The sequence below is a fragment of the Homo sapiens genome, chromosome X (genome assembly GCF_000001405.40).
Source record: "Homo sapiens chromosome X, GRCh38.p14 Primary Assembly".
NCBI classification, from domain to species: Eukaryota; Metazoa; Chordata; class Mammalia; order Primates; family Hominidae; genus Homo; species Homo sapiens.
Genome location: NC_000023.11, coordinates 115,289,294 through 115,307,563, shown reverse-complemented (window position 1 = coordinate 115,307,563; position 18,270 = coordinate 115,289,294). Strand labels below are relative to the sequence as shown.

At 40.7% G+C, this 18,270-nt stretch overlaps 1 protein-coding gene across 2 annotated transcripts; it reads right to left on the bottom strand.

The window, feature by feature from the left end:
* LUZP4 (leucine zipper protein 4) lies at positions 1-17,849 on the bottom strand. Of its 2 annotated transcripts, NM_016383.5 has the most exons (4): positions 17,714-17,849; positions 5,441-5,572; positions 4,146-4,264; positions 1-1,359 (listed from the first exon to the last, which is right to left on the bottom strand). In NM_016383.5, the coding sequence occupies exons 1-4, from the start codon at positions 17,802-17,804 to the stop codon at positions 760-762; spliced, it is 942 nt and encodes a 313-aa protein (NP_057467.1). In that variant the 5' UTR covers positions 17,805-17,849; the 3' UTR covers positions 1-759. The 2 variants fall into 2 exon arrangements, with proteins under 2 accessions (NP_057467.1, NP_001305769.1); NM_001318840.2 differs by lacking the exon at positions 4,146-4,264.

The window sequence follows — 18,270 nt, the reverse complement described above, 5'->3', positions numbered from 1 at the left end:
TGAGAAATTAAAACTAAAACTTTTATTGAATAACCAAACAAACTGCAGTTAACATATCTTGTGTTTTTAACAACATAACTCCCAGTACATTTAAATTTCTGTGTTTCTTTTGCTAGGGTAGACAGACCTACCCTAACAGTTTTATAAGGCAACAGTGAATATATAAATGTATTCAAAATATATTCAGAAGGTTAGCATTACATCTATGCATAGAATATATCCTCTCATATGGTCTGATTTGAGGAAAGCAGAAAAGTTCAGCTGCCCAAAGATACATCTACCATTTGTCTGCTAAGGACTCTCTGAGGATGGCTTAGGAAGGAGACACAAAAGAGATATTCATTATCATAGATTATATATTATCAATTTGGCAGTTAGTTGTTAGATTAGCTTACCTACCAGGTTGGAATGTCCAAGGGGCACTGGACACTAAGTCAAGTTGGAACGTCCAAGGGGGACAGGACACTAAGTCAAAATATTCTAATTGTGGGGAAGGCCCAATAGGAAAGGCTGAGTACATACGGCTCTTCCAGGGAAAGCAGACCTACCGGGAACAACTTAATGGGACATCCTGGGTAACTGGATGATAGCTTAGAGGACATCAAGTTGAAACAATATTGATACTATGTATGTATTACCTCCATTCTAATATTTATGTCTTTGTCCCAATATACATGTTTCAACAAATACATATTTAGCCATTAGAATATAGATATATGCTTTTCTATTTCCACAGAATTCAACACATTGTTCTGATGATTAAGTAGTTATTGTATTTTTACCTGTTGAGTATCTCTGATGTCTTTCTGATTGGCCATGAGATCTCCCTGACTGATTTATGAGATCTCTCTCAGTGGCCACGAGATCTCTCTGAGTGACTATGAGATCTCTCTGAGTGGCTATGAGATCTCTCTGAGTGGCTATGAGATCTTTCTGAGTGGCTATGAGATCTCTCTGAGTGGCTATGAGATCACTCTGAGTGTCCACAAGATCTCCCTGGCTACGAGATCTCTTTGAGTGACCATGAGATCTCTCTGAGTGACCATGAGATCTCTCTGAGTGACCATGAGATCTCTCTGAGTGGCCATGAGATCTCTCAGATTGACCATGAGATCTCTTGTATTGGCCATGAGATCTCTCATATTGGGGATGATGTCTCTTTAGCTGCCCTTGAGATCTGTCTGACTGAGAAAGAGATCTCTCTAAGTGGTTTCGGGATCGCTCAGAATGATGATTTTCTTCTGGTTGGCCCTGGGATTCTTCTGATTTGTCCGGATTTCCTTCTGATTGATGCTGGTTCCCCTCTGACTGGCCTTGATTCTTCTCTGCTTGGGCCTCATAATTGTCACTGCACTTCTCCTGAAAAGGATCCCAATTATTCAAAACAAATGAAACATATACTTCATGATTTAAGTCATAATGATATATTCTCAAGACCATTTTTATGGGCAACTATTTCTTTTAGAATTCCACTGTGCTTACTTTTATTTATCAACCAGTTTTTAGAACTAACTTACAGAATAGCTCCATTGTATCGTGTCACTGGCACAAAAATGCTATGCAACTAAAACTTTAATAAAATAAAAATATGGAAAATTAGTTGTTTTATGAGTTTGACTGTACTCTAAGGTCATGTTCTACCTACCAATTTCTTGATCTATGTTTTACTAAAGAAACAACAGATTCTGTGACTTTGATAGAATATTTTGTAGTGTAAGTCCTTAGGATCAAAAGGAAAGTGTTCAAAATCATATTGTTTACTCTTTGCCTACTCAATGATTAAAAAGAAACTATCTTTTCATTATAAAGTGATACTTAATTCTAGAGAGAAAGACGAAGTAAGGAAGGGGAAAGGAAGTTGTAAAAAAAGCAGAAGGTTGGCTTAATACTATTCAAGTAAATTAGCCTGGCAACAACACAGCCTTTCTACCTTTTCAATTTTTAAGCCAAAAAGACAGTGGAGTGAATCAGCCAAATGGAAATAACGAAACCTTTGACAAATCTCTATGATGCTACATAAATGTAAGTGGATAAAGTCATATAGACCATGCTGAGAAATCAAGCTTTCTACTAGTATATGCTGCCTGACAAACACAACATCCCCTCAATTTGGCATTATGACTTTCTAGTTTAACACTACCAGAAGCTGGAAGCAACTGCTAAACAGCAGGGAAGGTACCAGCACAAAATGTATTATGCACAGAAAACTTATTTTAAAATAAAAATGTAAAAAATTAGTTGTTTTGCTAAAACATAAAGCTATAGCCACTCTCCAGCTTTTGTACTGAAAAACCTAAATAAGGAGATTGGGTGAAATGCACATGTACCTTTTCTCTTTTCTAAGTGATTGGTGTTGGGAGCACAGTGGGTCAGTAGGAAAGATAGGACTGAGTTCCATCTTCTAAAGACCCGTATGTATCCAAGTACCTTTCCAAAGGAGCTTGCAGTCCCTTTTATGAATGTTTATATAAGAAATAAGTATATAAGAAATGTACTATGTATTTCCTACCTTTGGAAAACAAAATGCACATTAGTTTTCTTTCCTTACAAACAAGTGAAGCCTTCTATCAAAAGGTTGTGTTGAATAAATACATGGGGTGAACAAATACAACTGTGTTCCACTGATAATAAGACAAAATCTTGTTAAGTACGAAACTAGCTTAATAGAATTGTAAAGTATTATTGAAAACTGTAATTATTCAATTTATTGGTGAAATAATTATGCTTAAATTTTAATACATTTCTTTATTGCAGGGTATTTTTTTTTTCTAGTGAGTTCAGCTATGATAGTCTCAAAAGTTTCAAAAGTATGAATAATAGAAGGATACTTTCCCACCCTGGGCAACATAGCGAGACCTCATCTCTACAGAAAAGAAAAAAAAAAATTCGCAGAGCATGGTGGCACGTGCCTATAGTCCCAGCTACTTGGGAGGCTGAAGTGGGAGGATTGCTTGAGCCTGGGAGGTAGAAGAGGCAGTGAGCCATGATCACACCACCACATTCCAGCCTGCGCAACAGAATGAGACCCTGTCTCAAAAAATAAATAAATAAAAGGACAAGGATGCTTTCAATTTGAAAATATTGTTTAATATTTATTCTCAGTTTATTTATGCATCTTGGACTGCATCAGAAGGAAGCTCATGTTCTTCTTCCCAAACTGTATAAAAAAATCCCCTCATCCTATAAGGCACAGATCATATGCCATCTCTTCCATCAAAGTTTCTCAAGAATCCCAATCAGAATGAATTTCTACATCCCCACAATGTATAACTTATGTCCTATTAAGCACATACTGCATACTGCCTGGCATTACATTTCTTTCTTAGCTTTCTCTTCCACCACCACACAGACTATTTGAAGCAGGCTGTTCTGGTATCATAGTGCCTGCATAGAGTAGGCATTGAATCATAATTTGAACAATTTAAAGTAATCCTTTAAATATTTGAAAATGCAACATGTTTTTCTCCAAAACAAATAAATGAACAAGCAAATAAATAAACATTTGCATTTACATGATTTGGCAAAAATGATTTAAGCTCCCAGAACTGCCATTTTTGATAAATGACCACTTAACACCTTAAGAAGAATCAGTTTATAAGCTAGGATGAAACATTAACACCAATGTTAGCTAATGATTCTGGATCTGAGCACCTCTCAAATTTCTGTCTATTGACTGGCTCACCTATACGTGTTTAGAGGAAATGGATTTGTACAGGGATAGTCTGTGCCACCTGTTGCTTCCAGAGTATATTTCATATCTGATATCATCTGACTTCTGGCTTTTACAGTTCATTCACAAAGATACTAAAACTCTTATATTATAACTTAAGCTCAAAGCCTCTGTATGAGGACAAATAAAAATTCTTATATAGGATTAATGACAATAATTAATAATCTATTTTGGCGTTTTATAAATTCAAAAGTTTTAGTAATGACTGAAAATAGCAAAAATCAAATGTTTATTAAAATAGTTACAGGGGAAAAATTAACTAATAAACATTGAATTTAAAATATGTTCAAGGCACCATGGAGGAATACCAAGAAACAATCCCTGCTTTCAATAGAATTTAAAGTAAATCATTAATATTAGGAAATATAGTAAATGTAGGATTTTTAATATTGGTTAATTCTTGGTACTTATCTACCTGCTCAATTAAAGGCTGCCCATTTAAAGGGTGTTGTCCAGACTTGAATCCAGAAGGTTTTTGGGATGGTTTTTTATCATGATTTCCTTCCTCAGAGTTGCTTCTGCATCTTGAGTAGCCTTTGAAAAATAAATATTTTCTGTATTTTCAAGTAGTAAATTCAATGTATCTTTCAGAAGTATTATCTCTGATCTCATTTTTTTAAGGCTATGCACTGGGTTTTGCAAAACTTTTGATATTTCATTACTCTGGTATCATCTGGGAGTCTCACTGAATTCTAGAACAGTCTTTGCCATACTATTTCAATTTGCATACCTTAATAGGGTAGTCTTCTCAGTATATAATACGTCAATTTTGGTTTCATATGCCACCAAAGTTGGGACATACTATCTGAAATTAAATGAAAGAATACTCCAGTAGAAAAAGGAGAGATGGAGAGAAATTGTCTGCTTTGTATTAATCATGTGAATATTTGTCTCAATTGTCTGCTTTGTTTGGGTATAAAGACAGTTTAAAAACCCATCAAAGAATATCTCCAAAAGGCTCACAAAGATCAATTTTGTGATGACTGGTTAGGCACATAAGAATGGGCCACGTTACCCTTTTTGGCTGCTCTGCCCCTGTAATAACTATCATCGCTTCTCTTCTCAGAACATGCTGAGCCACTGAAGATTCACACAAGAACTTAAATGAAGCTGCATAGGCAACTGTCGGGGCTTATAGTAATCACAATGTCAAAATGGTTCCAATCTGTTGACTAGATTATGAAGACCTTTAATTGTTGAAAAGACTTCTGTATCGTGGCAATCTGTAGCACATTCATATTAAAAAATGCATACTGCAATTACCAATGAGGTTAAGTATATAGAGGACATTTGTCATGTTCTACCCTTCTCTTTTTGTCTTACAACATCTGTATTTTCAAAATGTGGATGCCATAGTGTTCAGATTATTGACTATGCTCTTAACCCTCCTGTATTGCCTCCTAAAAGTGGAACTGGACCAACCAACCCAGGCTTGTAAACAAGTACAAAATAACTCTCAGCTCATATGGTTACTTTTTTTATCCCACTCTCCATTAGGGAAGTAATTCTTATAAATTAAAATAAATTTTTATTCATATGACATGGCATAAATTCTTACCAACCCTGTATGAGCCCATGCCCAGAAAAAATAAAACAAGCAACATAATGCAACTTTAGAACAATATTGTGAATTCTTGATTTACTTATCTAGTTATTCACAAATATTTCAGACTCTTTTTACCACGTGTGACTATTTTCAGCATACTTTACCTCTCCGATGGCGATGTCTATGAGCTTTTGATTGCTGTCTTGAAGGCGATTCCTTTTTACTATGGTTCTGTCTTTTATTCTTTTCTTCTTCAGCATTTGTCCCTTCTAACTCTTTATAGATTATAATGTCGTCTGTATTAGAAAATACATAAAAAATGAATAAAATGGCAAAAGCCAAATAATGTCTCGAGTGAATAATCTATATCTTATCTCATCATATTTCAGAATACCTAAAAACTGGTAGCCCTAAAAATGATAATAATAATAATAAATTTGTTAAACTCTAACAAAGGTCAAACAGTACCGACATCTTAGGTTTGCTGGAACAAGAAAGAACAATTCCTGTTAGATATATGGTAACTTTATTTATGCAAAAGCAAAATACTTTCACACTGCAATAGCTCAGGGGGGATATCATCTAAATAAATGATTTTACTAAATGTTATTTCAGTGTCATAGAAATATAGAGCAAGAGAGTCATTAAGTTGCTGACTAAATAAATGTAAATCAGCAATTAAATGTAAAGTGATAGACCATTAAATGTCTATCTGATTAAATGTGATAGACAATTAGTTACATGTATATTATCAAAAACTAACAGAGAAAAAAGAAGTGACAAAAGTAAGAAAGTGGTGATGGAAGTTCATAGAAGACACCACAGAAGTGAGGAACCTAGATTATTGTAGTAGCAGGAAGCAATCAGACTTGACTCTGTAGTCAGGCACATATTTACGTACTCAGGCAGAAAGCACTTACATGGCATAATTTAAAGAATGGCAGACAGGTACAACTTGCTCTAAAATATCTCTCCTAACATTTAGAATGGAAGAGTCTACAGGTGGGATGCTCTATCAGTGGATAAAACTTTACTCATGTTAAGGCATCTTTAGAAATAAGCAAAAGCCCCCCACACCTTCTGGAAGCTACACTCAGGAAGAAGAGAAAAAGAAAAAAAGAAGGACAAGCTAGGTATTTGGAAAAAACTGGAGATTCTAAAAGAAAAGAAGAGCTGAAAAGGGTACAAAAGAGGCAGTTGGGTGACACAGATTAACCACTCCTTTATTATTTTGCTTAGTACTAGTGCTGCCTCAGGTCTCTAAATATCTGATTCTGGGATAGGAAGCAAGATGGCAGAATAGAAGCCTCCACCGATCGTCCCCCCAGCAAGGACGCGAATTTAACAACTATCTACACAGAAAAAAACACCTTCATAAAAACCAAAAATCATGTGAGCACTCATAGTAACTGGTTTTAACTTCTTATCACTGAAAGAGGCACTGAAGGGATAGAAAAAACAGTCCTGAATCGCCAATGTCACCCTTCCCCCAACTCCCGGCAGCAATGACATGGTGGTGCCAAGAGCATCTCTGGGCACTGGGGAAGGAAGAACACAGCAATCATGAGGCATTGAATTTAGTGCTGTCCTGTTAGAGCAGAAAGGAAAAGTGGACCAAACTCACCTGACACCTGCCCATGGAGGGAAGATTTAAACCAGCCCCAGTCAGAGAGGAATCACCCATCCCGGCAGCCCGAACATGAGTTCCCACAAACCTCTCCATCAAGAGCTACAGTGCTCTGGATCTCCAAGTAAACCTGAAAGGTAGTCTAGGCCAAGCTTTTCTAACCTGTGGCCTGCAGGCCATACACAGCCCAGGACGGTTTTGAATGCAGCCCAACACAAATTCGTAAACTTTCTTAAAACATTATGAGATTTTTTCTGCAATTTTTTTTAGCTCATCAGCTATTGTTAATGTTAGTGTATTTTATGTGTGGCTCAAGACAATTATTCTTTCAGTGTGGTCCAGGGAAGCCAAAAGATTGGAAACACCTGGTCTAGGCCATAAGGACTGCAACTCTTAGGCAAGACTTAGTGCTGAACTGGGCCAACAGAGTGTGGACTGGGGGGGCCACATGACATACTGAGACACCAGCTGGGGCAGCCAAGGGAGTGGTGGCATCGCCCCTCCCCTAACCCCAGGCTGGACAGCTCACAGCTCCAAAAGAGACCCACCCTTCCACTTGAGAAGAGAGGGAAGAGTGGGGAGGACTTTGTCTTACATCTTAGATACCAGCTCAGCCACAGCAGGATAGGGCACCAGTTAGAGTTATGAGGTTCCTGTTTCAGGCTCTAGCTCCTGGTCCACATTTCTAGACACACCGTAGGCCAGAAGGGAACCGACTGCCTTGAAGGAAAGGACCCAGCCCTGGCAGAATTCATCAACTGTTAACTGAAAAGCTCTTGGGCTCTGAATAACTAGCAGCAATACCCAGGTACTATGTTGAGAGCCTTGGATGAGACTCCGAGACTTGCTGGCTTCAGGTACCAGCACAGCTACAGAAGGGTAGAACACCAAGTGGGCTCTTGGAATCCGTGATTCCAGGACTTGACTCTTGGATAACACTTCTGGAACTGCCCTAGGCCAGAGGGGAGCTCACTGCTCTGAAGGGTGAGTCTCAGACCAGGCAGCATTCATCCCAAGCTGACTTAAGAGCCCCTGAGCCTCAAGGGAACATCTATGGTAGTCCAACAGTACTCTACCTGGCCTAGGATGACTGGCTATGGGGTGAGGCTCCTCTGCCTTTGGAAAGGGAAGGGAAGAGTGGGAAGGACTGCATCTTGTGGTATGAGTGCCAGCTCAGCCATAATACAATAGAACACCAGGTAGACTTCTAAGGTTTTTGACTCTAGGTCCTGAGTCCCAGATGTCACTTCTGGACACACCTCTGGCTTGGGGGACCTTGCCACCGTGAAGGAAAGGACACAGGCCTGGCTGGTTTTGCTACTGGCTGATTGTAGAGATTCAGGGCCTTGAGCAAGCTGGGCAGTAGCCGGGAGTATTTGCAGCAGGCCTTGAGTGAAACCCAGAGCTGTGCTGGCTTCGGGTCTGACCCAGCACAGTCATAGTGGTGGCGGCCACAGGGGTGCTTGTGTCACTCCACCCCAGCTCTGGGTGGCTCAGAACAGAGACACTCTGTTTGTTTAGGAGAAAATAAGGGAAAAGAACAAGAGTCTCTGCCTGGTGATCCAGAGAATTCTCCCAGATCCTGTCCAAAACCATCAAGGCGGTACCTCTATGAGTTTGCAAGAACCATAGCGTTACTGGGCTTGCGATGTCCCCTAAAGTAGAAACTGCTTAGATCACAACACTGCAGTCCTTTCAAATATCTGGAAAGCCTTCCCCAAAAGGATGAGTACAAAGAAGCCCAGACAGTGAAGACTACAATAAATACCTAACCCTTCAATGCCCAGACACTGAAGAACATCTACTAGTATCAACAGCATCCAGGAAAACATGACCTCACCAAATGAACTAAATAAGGCACTAAGGACGAGTCCTGGAAAAACAGAGATATGTGACCTTTCAGACAGAGAATTCCAAATAGCTGTGTTGAGGAAACTCAAATAAATTCAAGCAAAGACAGAAGGAATTCAGAATTCTATCAGATAAATGTAACAAAGACATAGAAATGATTTAAAAGTGTCAAGCAGAAATTCTGGAACTGGAAAAATGCCATTGGCATACTGAAGAATGCAGAGTCCTTTAATAGCAGAATAAATCTAGCAAAATAAAGAATTAGTGAGCTTGAAGAAAGGCTATTTGAAAATATACAATCAGAGGAGACAAAAGAAAAAACAAACAAACAATGAAACACACCTACAGGATCTAGAAAATAGCCTCAAAAGGGCAAATCTAAGAGTTATTGGCTGTAAAGAGGATGTAGAGAAAGAGATAGGGGTAGAAAGTTTATTCAAAGGGGTTGGGAGTGGTGGCTTACGCCTGTATTCCCAGCATTTTGGGAGGCCGAGGCAGGTGGATCACTTGATGTCAGGAGTTTGAGAACAGCCTGGCCAACATGGTTAAACCCCACCTCTACTAAAAACACAAAAATTAGCTGTGTGTGGTGGTGCTCACCTGTAATCCCAGCTACTTGGGAGGCTGAGGCAGGAGAATCGTTTGAACCTGGGAGGCTGAGGTTGCAGTGAGCCAAGAGTGCCACTGCACTCCAGCCTGGGTGACAGAGCAAGTTTATTCAAAGAGATAATAAAAGAGAAGTTCCTGAGGTGAGCGGATCACAAGGTCAGGAGTTCAAAACCAGCCTGGCCAACATGGTGAAACCCCGTCTCTACTAAAAATACAAAAATTAGCTGAGCATGGTGGCATGTACCTGTAATCCCAGTTACTCAGGAGGCTGAGGCAGGAGAATTGCTTAACGGGGACCTGGGAGGCAGAGGTTGCAGTGAGCCGAGATTACGCCACTGCTCTCCAGCCTGGGCTACAGAGCAACACTCTGTCAAAGAAAAAAAAAATAGTTCCCAAACCTAGAGAAAGATATCAATATCCAAGTACAAGAAGGTTATAGAACACCAAGCAGATTTAACCCAAAGAAGACTACCTCAAGGCATTTAATAATCAAACTCCTAAAGGTCAAGGATAAAGAAAGGATCCTAAAAGCAGCAAGAGAAAAGAGACAAATAACAAACAAGAGCTCTAATATGTCTGGCAGCAGCCCCTTCAGTGGAAACCTTACAGGCCAGGAGAGAGTGGGCTGATATAAAGTGCTGAAGGGAAAAACTTTACCTTAGAATAGCATATCCAGTGAGAATATGCTTCAAACATGAAGAAGAAATAAAAAGTTTCACAGACAAACAAAAGCTGAGGGATTTCATCAACACCAGACCTGTCCTACAAAAAATGCTAAAGGGAGTGCTTCAACCAGAAAGAAAAGACATTAATGAGTAATGAGTCATCATCTGAAGGTATAAAACTCACTGGTAATAGTAAGTACACAGAAAAACACAGAATATTATAATACTGTAACTGTGGTATATAAACTACTCTCATCCTAAGTAGAAAGACTAAACGATGAACCAATAAAAAATAACTACAACAACTTTTCAATACATAGGTAGTACAATAAAATATAAATAGAAAGAATGAATAAGACCTACTATTTGATAGCACAACAGGGTGACTATAGTCAATAATAACTATATGTTTTAAAATAAAGAGCGTAATTGGATTGTCTGTAACTCAGAGGATGAATGCTTAAGAGGATGGATAATCTCCATGATGTGCTTATTCCACATTGCAATTGCACGCATGCCTGTATCAAAACATCTCATGTACCCCATAAATATATACACCTACTATATACCCACAAAAATTACAAATAAATAATAAACAATTACAATAATAAGAAAAAAATCTGATTCTGATTTTCTTTGAAATGGCTGACATCTCCTGGGATTATAGGTGTGAACTACCACGCCCAGCATAAAACTTATTTTTAAAAATGTTTTTGAATTATCCACACCTTGGAATGTGTTGCAAGGTTTTTCTTTAAGTGAAATCATACGTAATTTTAATCCTTAGACTTTGTAGTTCCAGAGACCACCATTTGATTTGTTGGATTGTAATGGAATTGGGTAGATCTCACCAGCTACGACTTAGAGATGAAATCAAATTGCTGCTCAGCCTCTTCATATTGAAGAGAAAGCAAATGCCTATGAACCTGGGTAAGCTGTCTAAACGCCCTTCCAACATAGGCTATGAGGTTATGAAGAAAGCGTCCTTAATGCTACAGTATTTTTGCAGATTCTCATGTCCTTTTCCTTAGTTCTCAGAATATATCATTACAGAGACACGGGGCTTTGTTCATTCTGCTCTCTGTAATGATATTCTCCACTGAATCCACCTAGAGAACACTTAGCCAATCTCTCAAGGAGAGACATTTGATCCAGGCCTCACCAAAGAGCCTTAAATTTGAATTCTTGATATACTTACTCTCAGAAATAAACTGTCAGGACTGAAGAAAGACAGTATTCCTCACACAGTTTAAAACTGATCACACTGCTTGAGGTGCCATATGAATAATTACATTTTTATTTAAATTGCATAATTAATTTTCTTGTGAAAAGTATACTTATATTGCATTTTATTTTACAGTGGGTTGAAACCACTATTTTATATTTATAAACATGTAAAATACACCACAATTTTTGTTTTGCCATTTTTTAAATATTTAAAACACTGGAAACCTCAAAAAATGTAAGTGACTTAGGTTCCTCTCAACTTCTGAAAAATTCTGACTATACATACTTCCAGAATACTTAAAACAATGTATAATTGCACATATTTACTTAGCTGTCTCTCCAGCTAGATTAGGAGGTACTTGAGAAGAGACCACTGTTTATTTACTAGTGTACTAAGTGCCTAGCACAGAATACAGAGTGGATAATCCATATTTGTGGATTCGTGGTCCAACATATCTAGCAGGCAGAAAGAGTTCTTTTCTTTCTAACTACAACACTTTTGCATCAGTCTCTTTTAGGTAAAAGTAATTAACAGGGGAGTGGAGTTCCTATTAAGTTCTTGCTGTTACCAGTTCGAATTTTGGTCTTATTTTTGCCTTTTATTTGTTTTAAAAAAAAAAAGGACTCTAATACTTTTTGGGTATGTTTACTGAGGGCAAAAACAAAAATAAATCTGTAGAGCCTTTTCCTACTTTAGCGTGTATTACAATGGAAGTAATAACCTTGCATCCAACATACTACTGCTTTTCTAAAGCATGTGTTTAGTTATCTAAAAACAAAGATATGCATTGTTAAAAAGTATTATTTTCACTGAGAAAAACATGGGGAAATTTATCAGGAAAAAGTATGGCGTTCTCATTACATCATAGAAAGCAACATGTATTTGCTATTTATTGTGTATTTTTCTTGCCTTCAAACTGCAAGGGCCTCAGCCTGGCACGGTGGCTCACGGCTGTAATCCCAGCACTTTGGGAGGCCAAGGCGAGAAGATCGCTCGAGCCCACGAGTTCGAGACCAGCCTGGGCAACATGGCGAAACTCCGTCTCTACCAAAGAAAATACAAAAATGAGCCAGGTGTGGTGGTGCACACCTAGGGTCCCAGCTACTCTGGGGGCAAAGGTGGGAGGATCGCTTGAGCCTGGGAGGTCCAGGCTGCAGTGAGCTGTGATTGTGCCACTGCACTCCAGCCTCAGCGACAGAGACCCTGTCTCAAAAAATTAAATAAAAGTAAAAATAAAATAAACCGCAAGGGCCTGTGATAACTAGTCGAAAGTTTTGCTGTTCCTCCTGACATGATCAAAACTGGGATTCTCATCTGTCTAAAAAGGTATAAATATGGATATAGAGAACCAATGTTTAAAATATGGATATAGAGAACCAACGTTTAAAAGGATAAAACAGTGACCTCAAGATTTTTTACAACTCGGTGACTATGAGATCTTACAGTCATACTTAATCTCCAACTAACCTACCAAATTCAACTCAACATCTTTCCTCAGCCTTTCAAATAACTGAAGCAATCTTTCCCAAAGCAGACTCTCCAGTATCCTTCCAGCTGTAATCATCTACTAAAATATAAGTGCCTCCTAAGTCCGTTTACTTCACTATTATTCAAGTTACACGACACCACCATCTCTCTCAGTCTCCCAGAGACTGACGTGAGCTGTTTAAACCCCATCTTTCACCTAGATGGTTTTTAATCTCTTTCATGTCTACTGTATCTATGAAGTTTGATAACAAAATCCTAAGAGGAGAGGTAACTTCTCCAGCTTGCCAAATTGCTGGCTACCCAAACGTGAGCGTTTAGGCCCACTTTCCGGGGCACATATAGCAAATATTTACTCAGCTTTTTCCACGTCAGGCAGCATACTTTGTGAACATTACCTGTATTCTCTCATTTAATCTTCAACAACTCTATGATGTAGATTTTATTCAGATCAGGAAACTCAGGCCCCAAGAGATGGAGCAACTTGCACAAGGTCACACAACTACTACATTTTTGGGACCAAGCCACTCTGCAACTATGGCCCTTATTTCTCTGAATTTTGAGATAAACCCATTGCTTTAGCTATTTATCAGTTTTGTTTTGTCTTTTCTGTTAGCAGTTGCAAAAACATCAGTGAAATCAACACAAAGAAAAGTGCAGGAAGCATGAAGTTTTACCTCAGTGCTATAAATTCCCTTCAGTTCTAGGTTTTTCTCCCTTCAAGGTCCCAGTGACAAGGCAGGGCCTAGAGTGAGGTAAGTGAGGAATTCAGGCACAAAATTCAAGGAGGTCCCCCAAAACTCAGTAATCAAGATTAAAATATCTCAACACAATATTTTCTTTTTTTCAATCTTTTTTTATTTTTTTTTTTTGAGACGGAGTCTAGTTCCATCACCCAGGCTGGAGTGCAGTGGCACAATCTCGGCTCACTGCAACCTCGGCCTCCCGGGTTCAAGCAAATCTCCTGTCCCAGCCTCCCAAGTAGCTGGGACTACAGGCGCCTGCCTCCACGCCCGGCTAATTTTTGTATTTTTAGGAGAGACAGGATTTCACCATGTTGGCCAGGCTGGTCTCGAACTCCTGACCTCAGGTCATCTACCTGCCTCAGCCTCCCAAAGAGCTGGGATTATAGGTGTGAGCCACCACGCCCGCCTCACAGTATTTTCAAAAATAAAAATCAATGCAAAACCAATCCGTGATGAACAAAATATCAAGCTTTTTTTTTAAAAAAAGGATAGTATCAAAGGCCGGATGTGGTGGCTCACACCTGTAATCCTAGCACTTTGGGAGGTCAAGGTGGATGGATCGCTTGAGCCCAGAAGTCGAGACCAGTCTAGGCAATATAGTGAGAACCCGTCTCTACAAAAATACAAAAAAATTAGCTGGGCGTGGTGGCACACGCCTGTATCCCAGCTACTTGGGAGGCTGAGGTGGGAGGATTGCCTGAGCCCAGGAAGTCGAGGCTGCAGTGAGCTGTGATAATGCCACTGCACTCCAGCCTGGGTGACAGAGTGAGATCCCATTTCAAAAAAGAAAAAAAAAAATAGGATCAGATCAGACCCTGTACTTGCACAGCCCTCCTTCACTTGTTTCACTCTAGTTCTTAGGTCAAGAAAACTTTATTTACAAAAACAGGTGGCCAGACAGATGGCTGTAGTGTGTCCATTTGATTTTTTAAATATTTCATTAAAATATTAATTATCCCTATTAACAAATTTTTTTTTTGTGACTCCTTGAACTTTATACTGGAAGCAAGTGCCTCATTTACCTCACCCTAGTCCCAGCCCTGGCCAGTGACCAAATATTATTTTTAAAGTCATTTTAATGCCACAAAATATTTCAGAACTTGTGATGAAGTTGGGGTAGGGGGAAGTAGCAGTATGGGATCAACAGGGACCATGTCTTAGAAGAGGAAATTGATACCGATCTTAAAATAGATTGCTAAAAACATCTTAAAGACAACAACAACAAAAAATACTTAGTTACTTTTCAGGGCCATTCCCCCTCAGAAGTAAAGTGGGAGGCAGGTAAATTCCTCAACCTCATAAGGGCATCTACAAAAACCCAACCAAAGGTAAAATGATGATTAATGGTGAAAAACTGAAAGCTTTTCTCCCTAAGATCAGAAACAAGTCAAGGATGTCCAATCTCACCGCATCTAATTAACATTTTGCTAGAAATTCCATCCAGAGCAATTAGTCAAGAAAAAGAATGAAAGGCAAGCAGATTAGAAAAAAGTAAATCTCTGTTCTCAGATATCATGATCTTGTATGCAGAAATTCCTAAAGATACACACACACACACGGAGATTAGCACTAATGAACACACTCAGCAAGGCTGCAGGATACAAGATCTATATGCAAAAATTAATTCTATGTACATATACCAGCAATGAACTATCCAAAAACGAAATTAAGAAAGCAATTCCACCAAGAAGAGCTTTCAATGGAGGAAAATTAGTCTTTTTAACAAGTAGTGTTGGAACAATTAGACATCAAAATGCAACAGAATGAAGTTGGCTCTTAACTCACCCCATATACAAGAATTAACTCAAAATGGATCACAGATGTAAATTTAAGAGTTAAAACTAGAAAACTCTCAGAAGGAAACAAGGGTATGATCTTCATGATCTTCTAGATTTGACACCAAAGCATGAACAACAACAAAAAACAGATAAATTGTATTTTATCAAATTCTGAAACTTCGGGACTTCAAAGGACACTATAAAGAAAGTTTAGGCCGGGTGAGGTGGCCCACGCCTGTAATCGCAGCACTGTGTGAGGCCGAGGTGGGTGTATCACTTGAGGTCAGGAGTTCCAAGACCAGCCTGACCTCTGCCTCCTGGGATTACAGGCATGAGCCATGGCGCCCCTCTTCATTTCATTACTTTTTTTTTTTTCTGAGATGAAGTCTCACTCTGGCACCCAGGCTGGAGTGCAGTGGGGCGATCTCAACTCACTGCAGCCTCCATCTCCCAGGTTCAAGCAATTCTCCTGCCTCAGCCTCCTGCATAGCTGGGACTACAGGCACGCAACACCATGCCCAGCTAATCTTTGTATTTTTAGTAGAGATGGGGTTTCACCATGTTGGCCAGGCTGGTCTCGAACTCCTGGCCTCAAGTGAGCCACCCACCTCAACCTCCCAAAGTGCTGGGATTACATGAATGAGCCACCAAGCCCAGCTGACCCTCTTCATTTCTATGGTACACTCTCCCTCCACTTATCCTGCCCCTTTTAAAGTTCAGCCCTCCCTGCTCTGCTCCCCTACCCTCATCTCTAAGGTGAACCCTCTTTCCACTGCTCCATCAATTTCTGAGGTCCACCCTCCTTGTTCCTGCTTCTCCTTGCTCCACTCCTGCGCTTCCACATTGAAGCTCAGCTCCCACTGCTCTGCCTCTCCCCCTCTCATTTCTAAAGTGGCCCTTGGCCAGGCGCAGTGGCTCAGGCCCACAATCCCATCATTTTGGGAGGCCGAGCCGGGAGGATTGCTTGAGGCCAGGAGTTCGAGACCAGCCTGGGCAACATAAGGAGACCCAATCTCTACAAAAATTTAAAAATTAGGTGGGCATGGTAGTGAGCACCTGTGGTTCCAGCTACTCGAGAGGCTGAGGTGGTAGGATCACTTGATTGAGCCTGAGAGCTTGAGGCCACAGTGAGCCGTGATCGTGCCACTACACTCCAACCCAGACAACAGTCCCTGACCTTATCTCAAAAATAACTAACTAGGCCGGGGGCGGTGGCTTATGCCTGTAATCCCAGGACTTTGGGAGGCCGAGAAGGGCGGATCACTTGAGACCAGGAGACCAGTCTGGGCAACATGGTGAAACCTCGCTCTACTAAAAAACAAAACAAAACAAAACAAAAAAACAAAAACCTAGACAGGTGTGGTGGCGCGTGCCTGTAGTCCCAGCTACTCTGTCGACTGAGGTGGGAGGATCGCTTGACCCCAGGGGGCGGAGGCTGCACTGAGCCAAGATGATGCCACTGCACACCTGCCTGAGAAACAGAGCAAGCACGTTTCACACACACACACACACCCCTAACTAAAGTAGCCCTTTTCTGTTTTGTCCTCCTTCCCCCATTTCTACAGTTTCCTTCTTCCGTGCTCTGATGCCCTTCTCCATTTCTAAAGTCAGCTTCCATCCTCTCTACTCAGCTCTGCTCACTCCCTATCTGGCTTGGAAAGTCTATTCCCTCCCCTCCTCCCCCATTTCTAAGATGGATAATAGCAGAGGAACTGGTCCAAGTAAAATCCACTTTTTCTGGGTTTGGTGCGAATGGAGGAGGTTAGGGGCCTTGATAAAGGAGTTCTTTTTTCTAAGGTTCCACTCTCCGTGTAGAGGTCTCAGGTTAGAGACTAGAGAGCGCCAGCAAAGAAAGGCTATCCAGAGCGAATAACCACCAGCCAACAAGCAAATAAATGGACCAACCACCCCTTCGAATAACCACCAGCCAACAAAGCAGATACACCAACCCACCAACAACTCCTAGCACTACCACGCCGGGATCCCTAGTAAAATAGCCTAAGGCTTGCTCCTCCGGGCCCTGGAATCTAGTGATTTATGACATCCGCTTGGACTGAGAAGAGCACTTGGCTCCATGTGTTTGAAGGAGGCCAGTAGTTAGGTATCAATTCTTAGGAGAGTAAAATACACGTTAATAGCGGTCTATTTTCTCCGCCTGCCCCTTTCAGCAATCCTTAATCCCCACGCGCTTCTGGTCAGCCTCCCTCAGTTCCCCACCTGAAAGGAGAGGGCTGGAGGTGAGGAGAAAAAGAGGAGAGGAGGGATAGGGGCCAAGTGGTCCCAGGGTTCGTCAGGGTGGGGCAGGTGCGGAGATGCCCTGAAGGGGAAGCCTCTCCTCGAACTGGTGTGTTCCTCCCGACGCCACTTCTAGTAAGCGCTATGCCGAGGTCTTGCGCTCAAGACCAGTGAGCCCAAACTAGTGGAGACTGGGATCCGAGATCTACATACCTAGAGACATATCTAGGAAGTTAACCTTTTTCCGACTGGGATGATTTGGCGGCACTTTTTCAGAAAGCGTTAGCTTCCGAAACGAAGCCATCTTCCCTGCATCATGGCGCCACACACTCCGAGGTAGGGCGCGTGTACCACCCCCTCACCGCGCAGGAGGAGCAGAGTGGTGGACTAACCTGATCCTCCAATCATAGCCTCTCCCTTCGGTGTTGCTAAGCCCCAAGGGGTGGAGCTTGGCGTTACCCCTCACCAAGTCTCCTATCAGGAGCTTGGCTCGCTAGAAGAAAAAAAAAGGAAAGACCCGCCCATCTCCCACCCGATACCCCTTTCTAAAAATATTCTCTCCACCTAGAGCACTATGTAGTTGGCTACAAGTTTCTAGTGTATGTGGTGTTCCGGCCCTTGCCTTTCACAGTTCCTAGGACCCATTTCTCCTCTTTGCTGTTGACATTCATGGCGAATAAAACCTTATAATCTTGACTTAATGGGCTGATGCTCTGCTTCTCTCAAATTCCAAGAGGGAGCACAAATTTAACATCTAGGGAGGATTCACA